This window comes from Homo sapiens, chromosome 6 (assembly GCF_000001405.40).
Source record: "Homo sapiens chromosome 6, GRCh38.p14 Primary Assembly".
In the NCBI taxonomy this organism is placed as follows: domain Eukaryota; kingdom Metazoa; phylum Chordata; class Mammalia; order Primates; family Hominidae; genus Homo; species Homo sapiens.
This window is the reverse complement of record NC_000006.12, coordinates 2,028,391-2,051,987: the sequence shown is the minus strand read 5'-3', so window position 1 is coordinate 2,051,987 and position 23,597 is coordinate 2,028,391. Positions and strand designations below refer to the sequence as shown.

Below are 23,597 nucleotides of genomic sequence, written 5' to 3'. Positions count from 1 at the left end.
TTGCCACCACGCCCGACTAATTTTTGTATTTTTAGTAGGGATGGGGTTTCACCGTGTTGGCCAGGCTGGTCTTGAACTCCTGACCTCGTGATCTGCCCGCCTAGGCCTCCCAAAGTGCTGGCATTACAGGCGTGAGCCACTGCACCCAGCCAGCCCACTTTTCTTAATACCTGCTAGAAGCAGATGGAAAAGAAGGAAGATTTAAACAACACAATTATCACTTTAGCTAAGGGCCAAATCATGTGGTTTAATATATGCTTAGATTAGGGTATATGGCACCAGACTTAAACATATTCTTCCAAAGAATACAAAAATAGGGAATACTTCTCAACTTCCTTTATAAAGTGGTACAACTTAGTGAGAATAGTTAGAGAAAGGAACATTACAGACCAATCTCACTTATGAACCTTCATACCAAAAAACCCCACAAAAAATCCTGCAAATAAAAGCCAGTTATATATAATAAGCCTAACATAATATTAGCCAATTGAGTTTATTCCCGGAATATATAGATGGTTTAACATTTTAAAATCAATTAGTGTATTTTACCATGTTATCTAAATAAAGATGAAAAATTATATGGTGCTTTTACCAGAAGCAGAAAATTGATAATAAAGGAACTTAAAAAATCTGCCATATCTATGTTTTCTACTGCTGCTCTACCAAATAACTACAAACCTAGTGGCTTAAAACAACAAAAACTTACTGTCTTATGGTTCTTACAGGAGACCTGAAGCCAACATAGGTGACACTGGCAGGCGGTGTCCTTCTAGAGGCTCCAGGGGAGAATGTATTTCATTGCCTATTGAAGCTTTAGAGGCTGCCTACATTCCTCGGCTCATGGCCCCTGCATCACTCTAACCTTTTTTGTTTTTTTTAAATTGTATTTTAAGTTCTAGGGTACATGTGTACAACGTACAGGTTTGTTACCTAGGTATACATGTGCCATGTTGGTTTGTTACACCCATCAACTCATTATTTACATTAGATATTTCTCCTAATACTATCCCTCCCCCAGCCCCACACCCCCTGACAGGCTCCGGTGTGTGATGTTCCCCGCCCTGTGTCCAAGTGTTCTCATTCATTTCCCACCTATGAGTGAGAAAATGCAGTGTTTTCCATCAATACCTAGTTTATTGATAGTTTTTAGGATGAAGGGATGTTCAATTTTGTTGAAGGCCTTTTTTGCATCTATTGAGATAATCATGTGGTTTTTGTTGTTGGTTCTGTTTATGTGATGGATTACGTTTATTGATTTGCGTATGTTGAACCAGCCTTGCATCCCAGGGATGAAGCCGACTTGATTGTGGTGGATAAACTTTTTGATGTGCTACTGGATTCGGTTTGCCAGTATTTTATTGAGGTTTTTCACATCGATGTTCATCAGGGATATTGGTCTAAAATTCTCTTTTTTCGTTGTGTCTCTGCTATGCTTTGGTATTAGGATGATGCTGGCCTCATAAAATGAGTTAGGGAGGATTCCCTCTTTTTCTAATCATTGGAATAGTTTCAGAAGGAATGGTACCAGCTCCTCCTTGTACCTCTGGTAGAATTCGGCTGTGAATCTATCTGGTCCTGGACTTTTTTTGGTTGGTAGTCTATTAATTATTGCCTCAATTTCAGAGCCTGTTATTGGTCTATTCAGAGATTCAACTTCTTCCTGGTTTGGTCTTAGGAGGGTGTATGTGTCCAGGAATTTATGCTATTTCTTCTACATGTTCCAGTTTATTTGTGTAGAGGTGTTGATAGTATTCTCTGATGGTAGTTTGTATTTCTGTGAGATCGGTGGTGATATCCCCTCTATCATTTTTTTATTGCGTCTATTCGATTCTTCTCTCTTTTCTTCTTTATTAGCCTTGCTAGCAGTCTATCAATTTTGATCTTTTCCAAAAACCAGCTCCTGGTTTTAGTGATTTTTTAAAGGGTTTTTTGTGTCTCTATGTCTTTCAGTTTTGCTCTGATCTTAGTTATTTCTTGCTTTCTGCTAGCTTTTGAATTTGTTTGCTCTTGCTTCTCTAGTTCTGTTAATTGTGATGTTAGGGTGTTGATTTTAGATGTTTTCTGCTTTCTCTTGTGGGCATTTAGTGCTATAAATTTCCCTCTACACACTGCTTTACATGTGTCCCAGAGATTCTGGTACATTGTGTCTTTGTTCTCATTGGTTTCAAAGAACATCTTTATTTCTGCCTTCATTTCGTTATGTACCCAGTGGTCATTCAGGAGCAGGTTGTTCAGTCTCCATGTTGTTGTGCGGTTTTGAGGCATCGCTCTAACCTTTTTATCTGTCATCACAGCATCTTCCCTGACTCTGGCCCTACTACCTCCCTCTTTTCCTTAAAAGGACCCTAGTGATTCCACTGGGCCCATCTGGGTAATAATCCAGGGCAAGCTCACCATCTTAAGATCCTTACCTTGATCACATATGTAGAGTCCCTTTTGCTTTGAGGTATAACATAGTCACAGGTTCTGAGGACTAGAACATGAACATTTGTGTTGGGGGAGATTATTCTGCTTAGTACTGCAGTGCTAAGAATGTGTGTAAAGAATATTCTACTTAATTATAAAAATCTTTCTGATACAGCAAATGAGACAGCGTTGCCCTCTAACACCATATGTATTTGACATTGGAATGGAGGACATACCCAATACATTTAGGCATATAAGTAAACAAAATATGATCTCAGGAAGAAATCTCTCATATTTGCAGATAAATATGATTGTAAACAAAGGAAATTCCTAATGAATCTATAGATAAATTACTGGAATAATACATAATTTTTGGCATTAATCTTAGCTCAGGTTGCCATAACAAAATACTGCACACTGGGTGTCTTCAACAACAGAAGTTTTTACTTTTGCAGTTCTGGAGGCCGGGAAGTCACAAGATCAAGGCAAATTCAGTTCTTGTTGAGGGCTCGCTTCCTTCCTTGTCGTGTCCCCATGTGGCAGGGAGAGAGAGGGAGTAAGCTCTCTGGTGTGTCTTCTCATAAGGGCACGAATCCCATGTGGAGTCCCCCACCCTCATGCCTCATCTAACCCTGCTTACCTCCCAAAGGCCCATCTCCATCCCCATATTGGTATTTTGGGAGGGGAAACAAACATTCAGTCCTTAATAGAAATATTGCTGGATGCAAAGTCAATACAGTGGATAAAATCAGTTGTATTTCTATAGAATAACAACAAACAGAAAAGAAAAATTTGAAAATATGCTGTTTATGATAGCATAAAATATCAATTAGAAGCAGTAAAAAATATGCAAGATCACAAGAAGAAAAACATTATTGAGAGGAAATTATAGAAGACTTAAGAGAAAGTAGGTAATATGATGGTGATCAGTGGGAAGACTCAATATCACTAATATGTAGCTCCCCTAATTCATCTGTAGATTTATAAGCAGTTCAGCAGATGCATATGTGAATATGTAAATTGATAAGTTGATTACAAAATATATATGTAAATGCAAAGGGACAAGAATTGTCAATACAGTCTTGAAGGAAAACATAGCATGGGGGAAGAACTGCTCAGGTGGTTAGTAAAATTTATTTTAAGTCATATTAATTAAAACAGTGAGGCATTGGCCTGAGAGTAACATATAGACCAGTGGAACAGAGTATTAAGGACTTTGTGTAGTGCCTTGGGAAGGACTTATCTTTTTAATAATTGATGCTGGCCATATGGAAAAAATTCTTATACCATCTATAACATTTCTACATGGATTATAGAATGTGAAAGAAAAAATAATTAGCCTTCTAAAACATGATAGAGTAGAATATTTTCATAACCTTAAGGTAGGGAAAGATCTCTCATACAGGACATAAAAAGCTTAACCAGTTTTTTGATCTTTGCAGTTTGAATGATGAGGTTCCTCTTGGTCATCAGAGACTGTTAGCACGTGAGAATGTGTACACATGAATAATGGCTGTTGACTTCTTGAACGCTAGTTTTCAGAGTGATTGCACCATACATTTTTTAGTGCTGTTACTCAGTATGAACCCAGGGGTATAGCATTATGGAAACATTGATATAGCTTCATCTAAAAGTATCTGGAATCCAAAATCTAGTTATCAAACTTTGCCAAGTTTTCTAACACTACATGTAATTTCCTTGTGGAATTTCCTTTAAATGGTGACAGTGCATTTAAAAAAATATTTAATATGTTTATTCTTTATGTAATTTTATGCTTAAAAATTGTGTGAACGGGCTGAGTGCAGTGGCTCATGCCTGTAATCCCAGCACTTTGGGAGACTGAGGCTGGTGGATCACCTGAGGTCAGGAGTTTGAGACCAGCCTGGCTAACATGGCGAGACCCCATCTCTACTAAAATGACGAAAATTAGATGGGGAAGGTGGTGCACACCTGTAATCCCAGCTACTCAGGAGGCTGAGGCAGGAGAATCGCTGGAACCCAGGAGGCGGAGGTTGCAGCGAGCTGAGATCACACCACTGCACTGCCCAGCCTGGGCAACAAGAGCGAAACTCCGTCTCAAAAAAAAGAAAAAACAAAATTATGTGAATTATTTGAATATAATTCAGGTTTTAGAAGTCATGTGACTTTCTCAGGAGGAATTCCGTACTAAATTTGCTTTGCACAGCCACAGACTCCTCAGTGACCCCAGTAGTCACACTTTCTTTTCCACTGCCCTTGTTCGTTGTTAAGGTAAAATTACATTGGTGAATCCACTTCACAAGGATATTGCCAGAGTTGTGTGCTCACAACTCTTAATATAACTTGAACTATGCAGGGCAGTACAAAGAGAATGGCCAAAAGATTTGTGTTCCAGTGGATTATATCAAGTGTCAGCTACAATACAACTATAATCTAGAATGTGAATTGGGTATTGACTTTAGTATATAGTCAAGCTGCTTCTGATTTTTTAGTGTCTGGAATTTTTCCAAACAAAACTAAAAAGTAAAATTTGTACTCAATATAGTCAGAATTTCTAGTAATTGCTTTGTGTGTATGAATCTGCTTCTGTGCTGCACAAATTCATGAGTATACATGAGTAGAAAAAGAAAACTAATTCCTGAATTCACCATTTCATGTAAGGATTATGATGGAGTTGGGGGATACTTTTAGTCTTCCAATCACTGCCCATATTTCTTTATCGCTGCCCCCAACAGTTTGAAAAATGTGTCAGAAAATGAGCAAATTAATGTTACTTTATTCAAGTAATATATAAATATAGGAAACCTGGACATTGGTTTAGCCAGGGAACATGGATGATGTGCAAATTCAAGAAACATTGTAGCTTGTAATCCCAGCACACTGGGAGGCCAGGCAGGTGGATTGCATGAGCTCAGCAGTTTGAGATCAGTCTGGGCAACGTGACAAAACCTCATCTCCACAAAAAAATACAAAAAATTAACCGGGGGTAGTGGCACCTGCTTGTAGTCCCAGCTACTCTGGAGGCTGAGGTGGGAGGATCACTTGAGCCTGAGACGTGAAGGTTGCAGTGAGCAAAGATCGCATAACTGCCCTCCAACCTAGGTGACAGAGTGAGACCCTGTGTCCAAAAAAGAAAAAACAAAAGGAAACATCATAGAAGGAAGGTTTTGCCTGTGTAATTAATACTGTGATTTGTAAATGTGTTACTTTTTAGGTTTGATTAATGGGTATTTCCTATGATAATCTAGTTATTTCATATGAGGACCAAAAAAGAGATTTCACTAAACAATGTGCTTTCAGAAATCTGTCAGCTTTTGAATCCTATAAAGTTTTACAAAACACATTGGTTTGTCTAATTTTCTTTAGTCTATGATTTTATTTTACTTTTTTGAGACAGGCTCTTGCTCTGTTGCCCAGGCTGGAGTGCAGTGGCATGATCTTGGCTCACTGTAGACTCTGCTCCCTGGGCTCAAGCGATCCTCCCACCTCAGCCTCCTGAGTAGCTGGGACTACAGGTGTGTGTGTGTGACCACTCCTGGCTTGTTTTTACATTTTTGTAGAGACAGGTCTTGCTATATTGCCTAGGCTGGTCTTGAATTCCTGAGCTCAAGTGATCCTCCTGCCTTGGCCTCCCAAAATTCTGGGATTACAGGTGTAAGCCACTGCACCCAGCTGAGCTTATGATTTTAAAAACTAAGCTGTCTCATATATGCATATTGTTTTTAGTGACCCGTAGCCTTCATCCATGTCTAGTGGTGTTATAGTTATTACTTACAAATGGGATTGTTGAAATTAAGCTCATAGTAAAATATATTTAATTTGATTTTTTTTTTGACTGGGGCTAGCTCTTTTTTATTTCAGTGCTAGTTTAAGAACTCCATTGTCATGACATTTAGGATTACTCCAGGAAAGGTTGATAATCTCCTCCCTGCACCCTTACCACCACTGTCACCATGCAACCCTACCTCTTGTAGAAACAAGCAAACATACAAACAAAACCCCCAAAACCAATTATGGTGAAATATAAAACACAACAACATGATGCCTTTTAACTTTTTGTATTAAAAAAATAAACTGAAACTTTGAGAATGGATTATTTTGACCTTAGCAATAGTATTACAATTATAAATCATGTTGAAATTTTGTCCTTAAGCAAGAAAGAAAAAAACAGCTAATTATTCAATTCTTTCTCAGGAAAAAAAAAAGAACCTGAAAAAATAGAGGAAGGAATTAATAAATATAAGAACATTAAGCAGTAATATATAAACAATATAATTAATGAATTTAAAATATGGTTATTGATTGCCAGTGCTAATCAAGAATAAAGGAGAGAAGAAAGACACGCCTAAAAATGTAAGAAATGAGAGATGAAATATCTTTTAGAGAGGAGATTTTTCCTTAAATTTAAGACTTTTTAACATGATAAAAGATATGGGAAAAATAATGAAATGAATTTTATAGGAAAATATAAATTATTAAAATTAATTCAAGAAAATCTAAATAGGCTAGTGACCACAGAAATAACAGTTACAAAACATTAGTAACAATTGTGAAAACAAAGTTCTGAAAGGCTCTTTTTCTTCATCATTTTATAAGCCTTTAGTGAATGGATGATTTTTGTGCCATTTAATTTTCGGAGTGCTTTGAAAAAGGTGAGATAGTTCCTAATCGAATTGTAAAGTTATCAAAGGCCTGAAAAAAACACACACACACACACACAGAAAAGAAAAAATTATAGATTGAACAAGTGCCAGGCATTAATAAAATTCTACCTGGAACCATTAACAGACATATTTAGCTGTGAAACACTTGAAGTGTTCCAATTAATAATGGCATTTCCTGTATTCACTTTGAAACTATGCTGTACTTAAAAACATTTTTTTTAACTTTTAAAAGTTCAGGGGTACACGTGCAGGTTTGTTATATGGGTGAACTCACGCCACGGGGTTTGTTGTTCGGATTATTTCATCATCCAGGTATTAAGCCTAGTACCCATGAGTTATTTTTCCTGATCTTCTCCCTCCTCTCACCCTCCACCCTCTGGGAAGCCCCAGTGTCTGTTGTTTTCCTCTGTATGTCCATGTGTTCTCATCATTTAGCTTGCACTTTCAAGTGAGAACATGCAGTATTTGGTTTTCCTGTTCCTCCAGTAGTTTGCTAAGGATAATGGCCTTCAGCTCCATCCATGTCCCCACCAAGAATATGATCTTGTTCTTTTTTACGGCTGCATAGTATTCCACGGTGTATACATAGCACATTTTTAAAAACCCAGTCTACTATTGATGGACATTTAGGTTGATTTCATGTCTTCTATTGCGAATAGTGCTGCAGTGAACATATGCGTGCATGTGTCTTTATGATAGAGTTATTTACATTTCTTTGGGTATATACCCTGTAATGGGATTGCTGGGTTGAATGTTAGTTCTGTTTTTAGTTCTTTGAGGAATTGCCATACTGCTTTTCACAGTGTTTGAACAATTTATATGCCCACCAGCAGTGTGTAAGCATTCTTTTTTCTCCACAACCTTGCCAGCATGTTTTATTTTGACTTTTTAATAATAGCCATTCTGACTGGTGTGAGATGATATCTCACTGTATTTTGATGTGCATTTCTCTAATGATCAGTGATGTTGAGCTTTTTTCTCATATGCTTGTTGGCCACACGTATGTCTTCTTTTATAAAGTGTCTGTTCATGTCCTTTGCCCACTTTTAATGGGGTTGTTGTTGTTTTTTTTTCTGCAAATTTGTAGATTTAAGTTACTAATATGTGTTGGATATTAGACCATTGTTAGATGTATAGTTTGCAAAAACTTTCTCCCATCCTGTAAGTTTGTCTGTCTACTCTGTTGATAGTTTATTTTGCTGTGCAGAAGCTCAAAAACAAGTTTATTTTTTATCTCACAGGTAAGAGTGCAAGCTAGCACTGTCTCACAGAAATATAGTGTGAGTATCACGTGCACTTTCAAATTTTATAATAGCCACATTTAAAAAACTTAAACAGATAAATTAGTGTTAATAATATGTTTTATTTAATTCAAAATATCCAAATGAGTGCTTACCATATGGTAGTGGCCCTCTTCCAAGTGTTTCTGTGCCAGGGGCTGCTGTGGTCAGACAGGTGGGAGCTGTGGAGACAGGGCTGTGCTGCTGGCTCTGCCCGCTGTGGCTCCCAGTGCTCTGGCTTTGCTTCTCTCTAGCTCCATCCAGCTTATGAAGGTGTTGAGACTGCTGAGATGAAATCAGGAAAGCAACTAGGATCTTATGAGGTATATTCGAGTGCTTTTCCTACAAGATTGCTTGAATAGTAAAGATTTGCAGGAGCCCTGTTAAGGGACAGGAAAACTGAGGATTTTTCAACAGTGATGTAACCTTGCTTTGAACAGAGAGGTCTGACTTGTGAAGCCATGTAAGCTAGCTGCAGAGGACAGCTGTCACTGTGGGCAAACCATCTCTGCCTCCTCGAGCTGAGGTGCTGAGTGACGGCAGGAACCTTCTGCTTGCTGCAGGACCCCTTTGTCTTCACATCACTCTTTTAGACTCATGAGGCTTGATGAAACCCCAGAGACGTCCACAGATGTCTTTCTAGCCATAGTGCTGTCTTTATTAGTACTTTATTAGAACCAAGGGAACTTTAGAAAGTGTCATATGGATGCTTATGAATATTTAGGTCATAGTCAGTCTTCACTTTACCTAAACATTTTGGAGGGTGTTTGTGAATCATACCATAATTTATTTAGTGTCTTAATTTAAGGAAACGAGTCCGAGTGGAAAGTAATTATAGTCATCAGCAGGCTTTGTTAGTTGTTACTGGGTCTTTAAAAAATATTAAGTTTCATGTGTTTTTGATTTCTTTTGAAAATGATAAAGGGTTTGAATCTAATAAGAGCACTTCTCAAGATAGGTTCTAAAGACTACATACATCAAAATTGTCTGGACTCCATGTTGAAAATTCAGGTTCCTTGGTACTAAGCCACAACTTAAAAAAAATTTTTTAAGCTACAACTTTTTAAATTGGAATTTAAAAATTGGACTGTCAATAGATGAGCCCTGTAAATGTGTTTTGGAACAATTTTCCCATGTAATTCTTTCGCTGTAAGCTTTGGAGAGAGGTGTATAGCCTGTAAAGGTGACTCTGGCCACACTACGGAGGGTGCCCAGGGTATGGGGTGGGGACGAGTTTGAGTGCAGGTGGGGTTGGGAGGAAGTGAATTTGAGAGATACTGGGAAGTAGAACAGAGGAGACCTGCTGATGGGTCAGCCATTGGGCATTAGGAGAAGAAAAGAGGCCAGGAAATTTCCTTAGCCGTTGTGGATAATTTTTAATAGTCTTTCCTTTTTCTTAACTGTTGAATACTTTAAGGTATTCACTGTTAAAGGCAATGCTTGTTAAAGTTAAGTACAATCAGTGGAACACCCGTAAATGCAAGTTCATGTAGCTTTCAAGCAAGCAAACTTAAAATGTTTTTCTTTACTGCCTTTTCTAAAATTATATGTCATTTTGTCATGATTTCCCACAGTTATCTCAGGGTTATCTCCTTCAGACCCAAAGTCTCACTTATTGATCAGGGCGTTTGACCCAAATTTTAAGTGATATCTTTTCCATTAAAGCGATTTCCTTGGATGGGATGGAATATTACACAGTCCATGTGCATAGGCATGTGGGAAATGGTCACATTTGTGGGTGGCATTGTCACCTCTGCTCTTGGACACATATCTTCTTTTTAAAAAGGTATTTGTTTACTTTATCTCCACTTCTGTCCATGCTGCTATTTGTAATAGACTTTCTACCATTTTTACCTGAAACTTTTCTAGGAGTTTCCAAATTTATGTGTTTTTACAATGTCATATGGTATAAAATTGATGTTTAAAAAATGTATCAAGCAGTATGTTCAGCAGACACCCCTGAGCCCTACTGCACTCCTGACCTCCACCTCCCCATGACCCCACCTCCCCTTGACCCTCACCTCAGCCTGCTCCCCACCTCTTCTTCAGGCCCAGGATGGGAGGGTGAGGATCAGGGATTAGGTCAGCTGTCTGTAGCACATGTTAGTGGATAATGTTTTAAAAGTCGAAACAGTTCAATGGTTTGTTTTCTTTAAGCCCAGTCAAAATGGCCTTGGTGTCAGAATGGCTCTGTAAAAAATGTCTCATGCCATATAGTTTAATTAAATGGTCTGAGATAAATGTCATGGGTGTTACTATCATTACCTGTGGTCCATTAGTGAACACACCACTCTCCAGGTGACTGAAATAGTCACATTCTCTTGCATTTCAGTTTTTTCATTTATTACCATTTTTTGGGCATACCTATAACAAGTACTGCCTTAGGCATTTATTTATCTAATCTTTTTTTCACCTTTTACTGCAGGCTTTGCAGTTATTAGAAATTCTGTTTATATATATGTCGGCATATGTGCATTTTTGTATACATATTTACATGCATTTGTACATGGATGTAATATCCTTTTGAGTATTAGTTAGCTTTCTACCTTAGAACCACAGAGCAAGAATTCTGCAAGTAAAGTTGTCTCTGTAGGGGAGAAAAAGTAATGTCCTTTCTCATCTATTACAAGGTTCATTGCTAAGGCCCCTAAAATAAAAGATTAATAAAAGAAAAGTGTAGACGTTTATTTGCTGTCAATTTTAAGTTACACGGCAGTCTTCAGAAATGAAGACCCAAAGAAACAGGGAAACCTGTGTATTTTTGTGCTGTGTTTGATGAAGAAATAGACAGTCTACACAAGTGTGATTGGAGGATAACAGGGTTTGATCTCTTTGATCAGAGATAAGGGTGTTCTTTTCCTCTGGGTATTGGGAGGACACCTCTGGAAGGAGAGTTTTATGACCTGCTTCGGGGGAGAAGGGTGAGGAGAAGGTGAGAGTGACCTTCCTGCTTCTGCTGTTTTCTCAAATGTCAGTGTGCCATATTTTTGGGCAATGTGTCCTAAACCTCATCATCTCCTATTGCCTCTACTTTCTCTTCATAAAGTCCTCTACAGCTCTTACAGGCTGATATATTTTACTTTAAAAATTAATGTACATTGCTGCTGGAAAGGAACATATGAATAATGAATACAAAGATAATGTTATTAATGTGCTTTCTATAAAGAGCCATCCTTTCTGATAGCAAGTAAGCCATGTAGATCATATAACTGTTTCCTAACCCATGTTCTGGATAGTAACTAGCCTCTAATTTCCCACAGTCACTGATTCTTTCTCTAAAAAGCATGATCATAAAATTGTGTTTTATTACACAGGGTTTAAGCCAAATTTATGATATGCCCACCACCTGGTGCTGATCAACATTGATGAATGTTCTTATTGGCCCAGTGTTGCATTGAGCCCCTACTTTAAATGCATCTGTGGACATAGCAGCCTACCTGCCCTTTGCCACTCCCCCTTCTTTGTAGAGAGGTACAAGGGTGGTCTGGTGTGCTCTCTCACTTGGGCAATGAGGAGCCATTGGGCTTAGAGGAAGTACAGTTATGTGCTGCATAACCGCATTTTGGTCAATGAAGGACTGGATATACAGTGGCACCATAAGATTATAGTGGTGCTGAAAAGTTTCTATCACCTAGTGATGTTGCCATTGTAATATTGTAGCACAACATGTTACGCAGGTGTTTGTGACGCTGGTGTAAACAAACCTACTGCACTGCCAGTGGTATAGAAGTCTAGCGCATACAGTTATGTACTGTACATAATACTTGATAATAAATGACTATACTACTAGTTTATGTGCTTATTATACTTTTTCATCATTATTTTAGACTGTGCTTCTGCTTATATTAAAAGTTAACTATAAAACAGCTTTAGGCGGGTCTTTCAAAAGGGATTTCAGAAGAAGGTGTTATCATAGGAGACGACAGCTCCTTGCATATCACTGCCCCTGAAGACCTTCCAGCAGGAGAAGACGTGGAGGTAACAGACAGTGATATTGATGTTCCTGACCCTATGTAAGCCTAGGGTAATGTGTGTGCTCGTGTCTTCATTTCTAACAAAAAATCTAAAAAGTTCATAAAAATTAGAAAAAAAACCTTATAGAATAAGGATATAAAGAAAGAAAATATTTTTTGTTTAACTGTATAGTGTGTTTACATTTTCAGCTATGTAATATTACAAAGGAATCAAAAAATTAAAAATACTAAAAAGTTTATAAAGTAAAAAATTTATGGTGAGCTAAGGTTAATTATATTTTTGTGACTTTAATATAGCCTAAGTGTACAGTGCTCATAAAGTCCATATTAGTCCATAAAGTTCATGAAGTCCATATTAGTGTGGATTAATGTCCTAGGCCTTCACATCAACTCACCACTCACTCACTCTCACCCAGAGCAACTTCCAGTCCTGCAAGCTCCATTCATGGGAAGTACCTTATACGGATGTACCATTTTTCATCTCTTGTACTGTACTTTTACTGTACTTTTCGTGTTTATAAACACACATACTTACCATTGTGTCACAGTTGCCTACAGTATTCAGTACAGCAGCCTGCTGTACAGGTTGGGAGCCTAGGAGCAATAGGCTCTACCATACAGCCTAGGCGTATAGTAGGCTGTACCATCCAGGTTTATGTAAATTCACTCCATGATGTTTGCACGATGAAATTGCCTAGTGACACATTTCTCAGAATGTATCCCCGCTGTTATGTGATACATGGCTGTATGTTAGCGGAATTCAAGCACTCCAGTCCACAAATCTAAATGAGGGACATATTCCCAAAGAAAAACATTAGTTAAGGTTAGTGTGCCTTCACGTTGCCCCTGCCTTCTGCCATTAATGAGCAACTATATGTCCAGAGTGCACAGCAGTTGAAACTCCAAATAACCCTCATGTTTTTTAACTTCAAATTTCATTTTGTTAATAAAAGTTGGAGAAAAAATTTATGTGCTTATGTTACTCAGCAGTCACTGATCCAAGGAGCATATTTCGGGAGGAATTAATGCTTTGCTTCTCATAGGAGTCTGAATTGGGAAGAATACTTTTGAGAAAAGTTATATGAAGAGCTGTTTTTTTTTGCAGTGTTTTAAAATATATATTTGTTTTTCTGTATGAGCAGGATATTGATTTGACATATCAAAGAATGGGTCTTGCTGCTAGCTGAAGGAACACTGAAGTGTGCGGGCCCAGTGGAGGTGGGGACCAGGAGTGAAGGCTAAAGTCGACAGTGTGAAAGCATAAGCTCCCTCAAAACAAGCCTGCATTCATTCTTGAGCGCGGCTTTTCTGGCAGTCTTTCCAGCTTTTACCAGTATAGTTTGCTTATCAAAGCACTTTATCAGTGGGGAAGGGATGTGGGTTAACCACTTCACTTAGCTCTAGCTAGCTGTCCCAGTTCGCAGTCTGTCAGCAAACAGCTGCTTTTCAGCATGTACACCCTGTACTGTGCAGCTGATGCAAGGCTGGGACAAAACCAGCTTTGTGTCAGGAGGTGGGGATGGCAAAGGGGGGCGATCTTCAATGAAAAGGGACCGAGCCCAACTTCAGGCTTTAATTTATAAGGGCGCTTTGGTGAGCTAGTTTTTTCACCACCACCTCCCCCCCAACCCTCTTTATTTCAAGGTTCAAGGTTAACTTTAAAAGTATGGTGTACCAAGGCAGGTAAACTGGAGATATTGTGGCAGGGAATAGTTAAAATGTTTATCTTTGGAAACAACCATTATACTAGTACTACTTACAGTACTTATTTATCTATTTATTTATTTATTTTTACCGCTTTTCTCTTTCCCCTGCTCTCTTGTCTTCATTTGCTCCTTGTCTTTATGTCTTCCTTTCAGGCTCCTTTAGAAACCATGTGCAGGTTGCCAACACCTTTGAGACCTTAGTGCTAAGGAAAGTGCGGCTTGAGCGGTTGTAAACACTAGAGAGCAGCAGAACCAAATCCCAAGCAACCACTTCTTTCTATTCACAGCATCCAGGCGCTTTGTTATGTTACAGCATAATTTGTAGAATTTTCCCCTCCCAAAGACATAATTTGAGGTGAACTATGACGTAGACATTGATGCCATCACCGATGTTTGGTTTCTTGTTCTGGGCACAAGATAGGATTGTACTTCTCGTCTGTTTGAACTCAGACTTACCAAACCAGAGTTTTCTTTCCTGCTACTCCCTCCCCCATTGTGAGGGACATGTGTCAGATGCTGCTTCTCTGTCCTGGGAGTCCAGAATGAGCAGGACCCCCATGCACAGCTGACTAGTGAGGGAACTGCAGTGTGAACCAGCGTACTTCAGTGGGAATGGTTTATTTGGAGGCTCTGGTTACAACAACGTCGTGTAGTTTTTTGACTGATTCTACAGTGTGAGAACTTAATCTAGTTTACCTCCTTTTTGGACCATTTGTAACTCTCCACTAAGATTTTTATCTGTTTCCCACCTTCTTTTACTTGTACAAGAAGCAGTTCTCATTGAGGGTGAAGTTGAAGGGGCATTGTCAGTTCACGGGAGAGCTCCAAGTGTATGAAGTGTTGATACCCAGACAGTTTGCCTGACTGAACCATTTCTTCAGCTCCCTAAGTGCAGTTACCTTTATTAGAGAAATGTCATTTATAATCATGATGCTACCAAGGGCTCCCTCCTTTTATCTCACAAGTTCAGGCTGTTCCTACCTCATTACCTTTCGCCTCCAAAAGATAACTCCAGGTACAACAGGAATAGAAATTAGGATGTATCTACTGAGCACTTATTTAAAACCTTACTTACGAAAGTGTGTTTTATGGTTCAGGATAGCATAAGGTGAGCTACGCCACGTTAATTTGGAGAATACTGCTTACCATGCAGATTTCACAGTACATATCAGCATGCCATAGGCTCTGAAGTCTTTCCGTGCAGCTTGTTTTATCTTGTTTATGGTTTACTTTTCCCATAGAATATGCTTCGTGAGGATAACTGCTTATTCTCAGTATATCCTATATTTACTTTCTGACATTTATAGGAAGAGAATTATCATTAATCAGCATATATGGTCTTACTGTTTAACACTGTCTTGGCATTTTGCCTGGAGCCCCATTTATTTGGGACACACAAGTATGATAATGGGTAACGCCAGGAATTTCTATATGCCTTGTATGGATTGCTAAAGCCTAGAACAGTTGATGTACTAAGTGATCCCTGGGACAGACCTTCCTGGGAAGAAGCATTGATTACTAGGTGCCAACAAGCAGTAAGGCTCTGAAAATCAGTGATTTTTTTTTTCCAGTTAGCAAACCTATTAATGAATCAATAACTCAGTTTATTCCCGAGATCTGCGTTTATGAAAGACAACTTCATAATCTGTTATACTGATGTGTTTAGATCTTTATCCAGCCAAGACCTAATTTATCAACACCTTGTTATCTTAAATACTTTACACAGAAGGGTCATAAATCCTCCTTAAAAGGGCTTTATTTCACCATTTAATTAAGTCTCCCGATTTCCTTCATTGACTTGAAAAGGGAGTTCAGGGTTGAGTTGATTTTCATTAGGCACACAAATTCTTACATTAAATTAAAGTTAGGTGAAAGGAGAACACTGTCATCTAATTCTTAGAGGTGCAATAAATGACGGCTGAGACAGTCGCCCAGGCCAGGCTGCCCTGCGACATGAGATTACTTGTGGAGAGGATTTTAAAGTACTCTTTTGGCTGGGCGCGGTGGCTCATACCTGTAATCCCAGCACTTTAGGAGGCCAAGGTGGTTGGATCACTTGAGGTCAGTAGTTCAAGACCAGCCTGGCCAACATGGTGAAACCCCGTTTTTACTAAAAATATAAAAATTAGCCGGGCATGGTGGTGCACACCTGTAATCCTAGCTGCTCAGGAGGCTGAGGTGGGAGAATCACTTGAACTTGGGAGGTAGAGGTTGCAGTGAATTAAGATTGCACCATTGCACTCCAGCCTGGGTGACAGAGCGAGACTCCATCTCAAAAAATAAATAAATAAATAAATATAAATAAATAAGTTACTCTTTTACTCTGTTGTTCTGTGTTATTTTCTGCTTCCTAAATAACTTGACCATAGGTAATAATATTGATATAATTGACACAAATTTGAGCTTTTATTTAGGAGAGAAGTCTCTTGGTATGTATGATGGGGGATACAGAAATGAATGATAAGACAGAGAAATAGGTCAAATGCCAAATAGAAAGTAAGTGCCATTTGAGACACAAGATGTGGGAGATGTATAGTGGTGAATCCTTGGAAAATCAGGGAAGACATATCCTGATATCATGAGGAGCTGACTCATGAGTTGGGTTGGCCTTGAAGAATGGATAAGCTTTGAGCTCTGGGAAATGGAGAGAAGGGCATCTAGGCAGGTCAGGCACAGCATTCAACATACCGAGGAGAGAAAACTTGGCACATGAGGGGAGAACAGTTAATTTGACATCTTTGTTAATGATTAACACCTTTCATAATGAAGCCTTCCCTCCACATGGTGTAGCCTGGCTTGAGGCCATCTGAGAGGAGACAGTGTTCAGGGGGAGGGTTCTGTTTATGAATTGTGGAGCAATGTGATGTTGTGTGTGTGAAGAATTTTATTCAGCTATAAGTTAGAGGCCTGAAAACAGCTTAAATCATTTTTTCTTATGTGGTAAGAAGGCTAGAGAAGGTAGACTAGAGATGGTGTAGCAGTTCCATAGGGCTAGCAGGGGTGGCAGCTTCTTCTTTTTCCCCCCAACCATCCTCAGGCTGGGTTTCTTCCTCATGGTCTCAAAAGTGGTTGCTTGACCTTGGGAATGATGCCTACCTTCCAGGCCAGAAACGGATTGGCTGGCTTCTCCTATCTGCTTCTGCATTTGGTGTGTTTTAATACGTATCAGGTAAGCTCTGGACAACTTCACTGTATACGTGTGAGAATATAAGAACAAAAAAGGCAAATGATGTGTTTGTATTTTTTGATAATAGTTTTGGCTTCGCAGACACCCCAGAAGTGTCTTGGACACTCTCTGGACTTCCAGACCGTACTTTGAGAACTGTTGTTCTAGATCACTGTTGGCCTGTGAGCCAGTTGCAACCCAGAGGTAAAAAGGAATGTTACGTTTTTTAATAACAGCGTTGTTGACATTAAAATCCACATACCATAAATTCAACTATTTAAAGTACAACATTCAGTAGTTTTTAGTTTATTCCTAGAGTTGCGTAACTATCATCACAGTGAATTTTAGAGCATTGTCATCACCCCGAACAGAAAGCTCATACCCATTGGCACCAACATTCCTTTTCTCTCCTACCGCCCCAGCCCCTGGCAACCACAAATGTACTTTGTCTCTGTAGATTTGCTCATTCTAGACGTTTCATGTAAATGGAATAATACAGTATGTAATCTTTTTTTAATAGGAGTTGTTACATTTTTAAATGTTTGTAAAAGAAAAACAGCAAAGATGATTATACAACAGAGATGATATGTGGCCTGGAAAGTTTAAAATAGTTACTGTCTGTCCGTAAACTAAAGAAGTTTACTGACCCCTGTTATAGAAGATAAGTGCACATATTTAATATTTTTGTACGTGTCCCTTATATACACACACATATATGCATATACATATATCTATTTATCATTAAATACCTTTAATCCTGTACCAGTATATTCTGTGTGTTAGAAATCATGTGACTAAAAAATTGAAATGGATGACATAACAATGACTATGAAAGTTTTAATATTTTTTTCAGTATCCCCATGGGTTCTTTTATATGCCTCCGGACTGGTACACAGTCTCCTTCGGATCTGATTCCAGAATATTTACAAATAGGCCATATTAGAAACATTTTGGCAATTGTGAAAAGTACAGTTTCAACACCTCCATCTTAGAGCTACTGAAACATGTTCTCTGGAGGTTAAACCCAAGAATCTGCATTTTAGAAAGTACCTCCAGTGATTCTTTGTGCAACTTAGTTTAGGAACGACTCATCTGTACTGTTAGGATCTAAGCTCATCACAGGGCAAAAGGGGCAATAAAAGCAATGGCGGTGAACACCTGATAGTTTAATCCTTAAGTAACTAATTTCCAGAAGCCTTCTTATATTCTGAAAGCATTCTTTTAAGAAATAAATTTATTCTTATAAATCAAACATTGTTAATTTTTTCCTTAGGAAGTTACTTACAAAAGGTTTAAGAAGACAGAAGACTATTTGGTTCAGTGATAAAGTGAAGGATTTGTCCTATGCCTGACCAGTTTCAGTATACAACTTTTTCAGAAAGTCTGGAAAGATTTCCTTAGGCCCTTGGTCAAAAATAATTGAGAACCCTCCCAATCAATTAATATGATAGATGTTTAAGGGAAATATTGCTCTAGCTTTTTAATTTAAGAGCAGTATAACATGATACTTTGGAAACTTCTTGCTGCCTTCTTTACTCCTAACCACATGATTGGGTTTGTGGTGTCTTTCAGCAATTATTATGCATTGGTTAATGAATCATTGCATTATTGATTCAGTGATTATGCAATTATTATTTCATTGGTCATATGGTTTGGCTCAAACTATAAATGAAGGAAGTATCAATTTAAAATAATCTGGGATTGGAAACTACTTGAATTGCAAAGACTTCATTTTCCTTCATGATAATTCATTCAACTGTTTGCATGATTTAACATACTTTTTCCTTTGAAAAGATAATTTAACTACATGTTACATGTTTATTTGCATTTTATGCTTTCAATTTAGAATTTTTAAAAATGAAATTTGAGAAGTTCCAGATTGGTGTTAGAAGTTTTCTTTGCATCCTCTCCTTAGAGGAATTAGTAAGTTACATGGCAAATCAGTAAGAGGAACTGTATTGTATCTATCACCACAGGTTGTATTCCAAATGCTACCTCTGTTTTATATGGTGACTTTCTGGAAGACGTTTTAGCTACCTGTGAATTAGCAGTTTTATAATGATGAATGGAGATACTACTGCTACCAGTTAGGTTACTGGTTAAATCAGACTCCTTGTAAGCAAATTACCTTTTTGTTTTATGCCTCTCTCTATATTTTCATAAGCTTTCTAAGGGCCGACATCTTTGTTTTGTTTTCTGATATATACCCAAGAACCTAAAACAATACTTGTTGTGTAGTAGGCATCAGTAAATATTTAATAAATGAATGGATTCCAGATCTCATTTTGAAAGGGATTTAAGGAGACTTAAGGATTGTGCAAATACATACAATATGCCAAGAGAAAATAAATTTAATATTGTGGTACCAAAAATGAGATTAGTACACATACAAATTATATCCATGAAATTCTGTAGATTTCCTGAGAAGGCTTGCAGATTTGGCCCTGAGATTTCCAGCTGTATAGGATTCCATAAGAAGAAGATAAAAGACAAATTTGATTTATTGTCTCTTAAGGCATCCTTGACCTGGGCTACTTTCCTTTCAAATGCTTGACATTGATTACAGAGAGACTGAGGAATAGCTGTATGTCTCCAGTTCAAACCTATCACCAGCACCAGAAAAACAGTTCACAGTATATGTCTTCCCGATGATGAACTAGCAACTGTTGATGGGCAACTGGATACTATCTTTTGCTGGGATTTTATTCCACCCTTTGGTCATTGAGAGGTTCTAACTTCTACACTTGTTCTTTATGGATCTTTGTGTGTGCCCATTTTCAATAATAAGTTCTGATTATACAATTATAAATTTTTAATATAGTTTAAGACTTAGGAGAAATTAGGCAGTAATAAAAATGGCTAATGTTTTCATAAGGCATTTCACTAAAATGTTAATTGTATTTTCAAACTTTTAAAACTATAGAGGCCAGAAAGTGGTGACCATGGGCCTAAAATATTTTCTAAAGTTACAACTTAGTTGTTAGCATTTAGAAATCAGAAGAAAGTACAGGAAACATTTAGGCTTTAAGGTACCCGCCAGGCTTGCCCACAGTCACTCTGCTCCTCAGCTGCCTGGCCTCTGGGGCAGTTCAGTTTCACACACCAGGAATGCCCTGAGCCCAGATTTCCTACCTCTGTTTTTTACTTCTGTTTTTGCTTCTGTTTCTTTCCCCAGATGTCCTCATAGCTTTCTTCTTCACTTTCTTCCAGGGACTCAAATATCACATTTTCAGTGAGACCATCTCTGGTCACCCTATCTCAGATTGTATCCCCATCCCCACCCTGACACACACACCCTTTTCAACTTGATTTTTTTTTTTTTCTCTAAGCACTTACACTGGTCTATACATTTTACTTATTTATCTTGTTGGGTGTCTCTCCTCTCCTGTTATCCAGGTAACTCTGTGAGGGCATCCATTTGTAGTTGTTTGGTTCACTGCTACATCTTTAGTATCTAGGATACCTAGAACACAGAAGAGGTTGGGAAACTGATTGAATGAGTGAATTTCCAGCTTTTGAGAAATCACCAGCACCAAGCCCAGTGGCACTCCTGTGTGGAGGCCTCAGCCTGGGCAAAACAGCTGAAAGGGAAAAGAGCTCTCTAGTTCTTTGCTTTTCTGAGGAGCTTGTTTGAAATTCAAAATCCATGGCTCCACCCCAGAACTACTGCATCAGGATGTGCGTGTTAACAGGGCGATTTCTGTATGCACATTAAAGTGTGAGAACCATTGTTTGAGTTTACCGTAGCTGCACCTGGCCTGCTTTATGTATTTATACTACATGCTTGCATTTGAATTTGTGACCCTGGTGTAGAGAGTAATGTGATCATCTTTACGTGTGAGAGAGTTGATACAGTAATAATTTATTTTGTTTATAAAAGGAATTGGAGAAAATCCTTGTTATTGTATTGGTGTTGAGTCACAAAGATAATACTTGTGTTCTAGGCTTTTTCACATTTTAGTGAAACATATGCTATATATCACTATGTCCCAAGCAATACATTTTGAGCTACAGTATAGCTACAATTTAGCGAACCACTTTATAACAGTTTTACTATGTTTATCTAGCGCACACGGCCTTGTTTGGAGCCAATGCATAGTTTGTCAACTGTACTACTTAAAAAAAATCTGTTACCTTCACCCTCAGAAAGTAATAGTTCCAAAGGAACTGTTATAGAGTGAGTCTTATAAATTCTTCTGTGTGCACATGTCATTCATCCCCAGAGGTCATTTAGAGCCCTGAGACTTACTGTGGCCAAATGTGTTGTACAAACTGCTGCAAATCCTTGGGAAATTTAAATAAGAAAGGGTTTTATATGCATTTTATGTAGGGAGCAAGGTCCATGTAAAATAGAAGTTGGGACAACATTGGAAGTTGTGTGCTCCCTCTTAACCTCGTCCTACAAATTCGCAGATGCTGGAGAAAGAACAGCAAAATTTCCTCCAGGTGCTTTACAACCACCAGATTCAGATTTGCCTCCCTTATCTTTTTCTTGGCTCTCCAGCATCACAAATTTGACACAGGTGTTCCCATGCACCACCCCCACACATACTTTAAGAAGATGTGGGCATATATTATCTTTGTCCACTTTTAATTTCGAAATGATCTTGCAAAGACCAAACCCACAGACTCTTGTGGAGGAGATGGACAGTAACCAGCAGTGATGGATCTGTCTGGTTGTGCAGAGCATGCTGTGGGAACCACATGGGCTGTGTGTTGATCTCTGTGTGGGCACCCGCTTCCCTCCTCCTCCAACCTGCCCCCTTCTCTGGACTGTCTTCATATCACTGGGAGAAAGGCAGTTCACGAGTTGGATGTAATGCATGCTATCTGTTTTTATTGTAGAGGTTTGACTAGGACCGAGTAAAATCCTTAGGAGGCCCCCAGCACAGAAGATAGTATTACATGCTGCTCCTGTACACCCCAATATATAATTCAAAATGACACAAAATTTAAATTTATATTTAAATTAAAGTACCTTCTTCAAAATATTTCTTTGGAATATTTTGATGTCAAAATTTTAAATAAATTTGTTAAAGATAAGCTTTTCTTTTGGGGTGACACATGGAATCCAAGCATACACTTAGTAAGACTTATGTGATCCAGCATGGGGTTGGCCCCAGATCCCTCCAGAACACAATTCAAGATTATTTCATAATAGAAGTGATGCCTGACACAAGTCTTGTAAAATGAGCAAAGTGTTTCCAGCCTTTTTAAGTTTGCCACTTATACTGGGAGGAGAGGTTGGGCTGGACTGCAGGTGCAGTTGGCAAAACTGTCCTGTCAATGCAGACATAATTCTGGGAAATTACCAATACCCTGGACAATTTGCAGTAAATTTTTGCCAGGTAGATAATTTATCTGCTTTTAATATCTCTTAGTTGAGGTGTTAAGAAATAGCAGAATGCCCCAAGGATTACTGATAGGTGGTGAGAAGGAATTTGAGGGGAGTCAGAGACAGGGCAGGTTGACAAACCGGACAGTCACCTGCTGAGTAATTAAATAAAGGTTATGATTTATTTTAATGTAGTTGCAAAATATCTGGTTAGGGTGTGTGTGTAAATATATGTGTGTGAGAGACAGACACACACAGACACAGGCAGAGATGGAAGAAGCCAAAAGGTGATGTCCACAATTAAATTTAGATTAATATTTGCTGGGATTTTGATTGGATTTACTTTCTGTCTTGAAAGAGATTAAACTTTAACAAAATGCTTTCCAGTTCTTAAACATATATAATTATCTATTTTTTAAAAAAGGTATGGTAAAGGTCTTAATTTCTGCCATCTCATTCCCTCTGGTTAAAAAAAAAAGAAAGAAAGAAAAAAAATCACCCAGCAGAGCCATCTATCTTGTATAATCATCCTCATAAACCCCTAAAGTATGCTTTGCTCCCAAAACATTATTGGCATGGATCCTGGCATACAATCATCACACCAGTAATTACAGCTGTTAACTGGAATATAGTCGTTAGTATTTACTAGCCTCTATTATGAACACATAAATCATTTCATAAAACGGTGAGTGGACACATTACTTGTCGTTTTGTTTATGTTAGACATTCTCTGCAGGTATTCTACATGAAAGTTAAAGCATTCTGAGGCTCTTTTTGTAGACTGTGCTTATCATTAATAGAAAGCAGCATGTGTGCATCCTGCAAGCCCATTTCCTTATTTAAAGTGGGCATCCTTCCTCTGCTGAGATGTGCTTCCTCTTTCGTTACAAGACTGAAGATCAAGCCTTTGTAAACCCTTAAAGGTACATCCCTTCCAAATGACCTTTTGTCCTGAGCGACGAAGATGTATTGTTTAGTCCACTCAGAATTACATGGGGTGTCCTAAGAATTTTTGTTTTGGTTAATTAAATTTGGAAATGTGTCATTTTTTCCTATTATAAAGCATAAATGAAAGTCCAGTCAAATT

The 23,597-nt window shown here is 38.3% G+C and overlaps 1 protein-coding gene across 12 annotated transcripts in view; it reads left to right on the top strand.

Annotated features, from left to right (window-relative positions):
* The window catches only part of GMDS (GDP-mannose 4,6-dehydratase), a 621,800-nt gene that overhangs the window by 193,618 nt on the left and 404,585 nt on the right, over positions 1-23,597 (top strand). Inside the window, exon 1 of one of the 12 annotated variants that reach the window (XM_017010752.2) lies at positions 16,896-17,178. The exons of the other annotated variants lie outside the window; for them this stretch is intronic. Coding sequence (XP_016866241.1) covers positions 17,095-17,178 — 84 coding nt within the window. The 5' untranslated portion in view covers positions 16,896-17,094. Of the gene's footprint in view, positions 1-16,895; positions 17,179-23,597 lie in introns of those variants that run through there. 12 annotated transcript variants of the gene reach the window in all.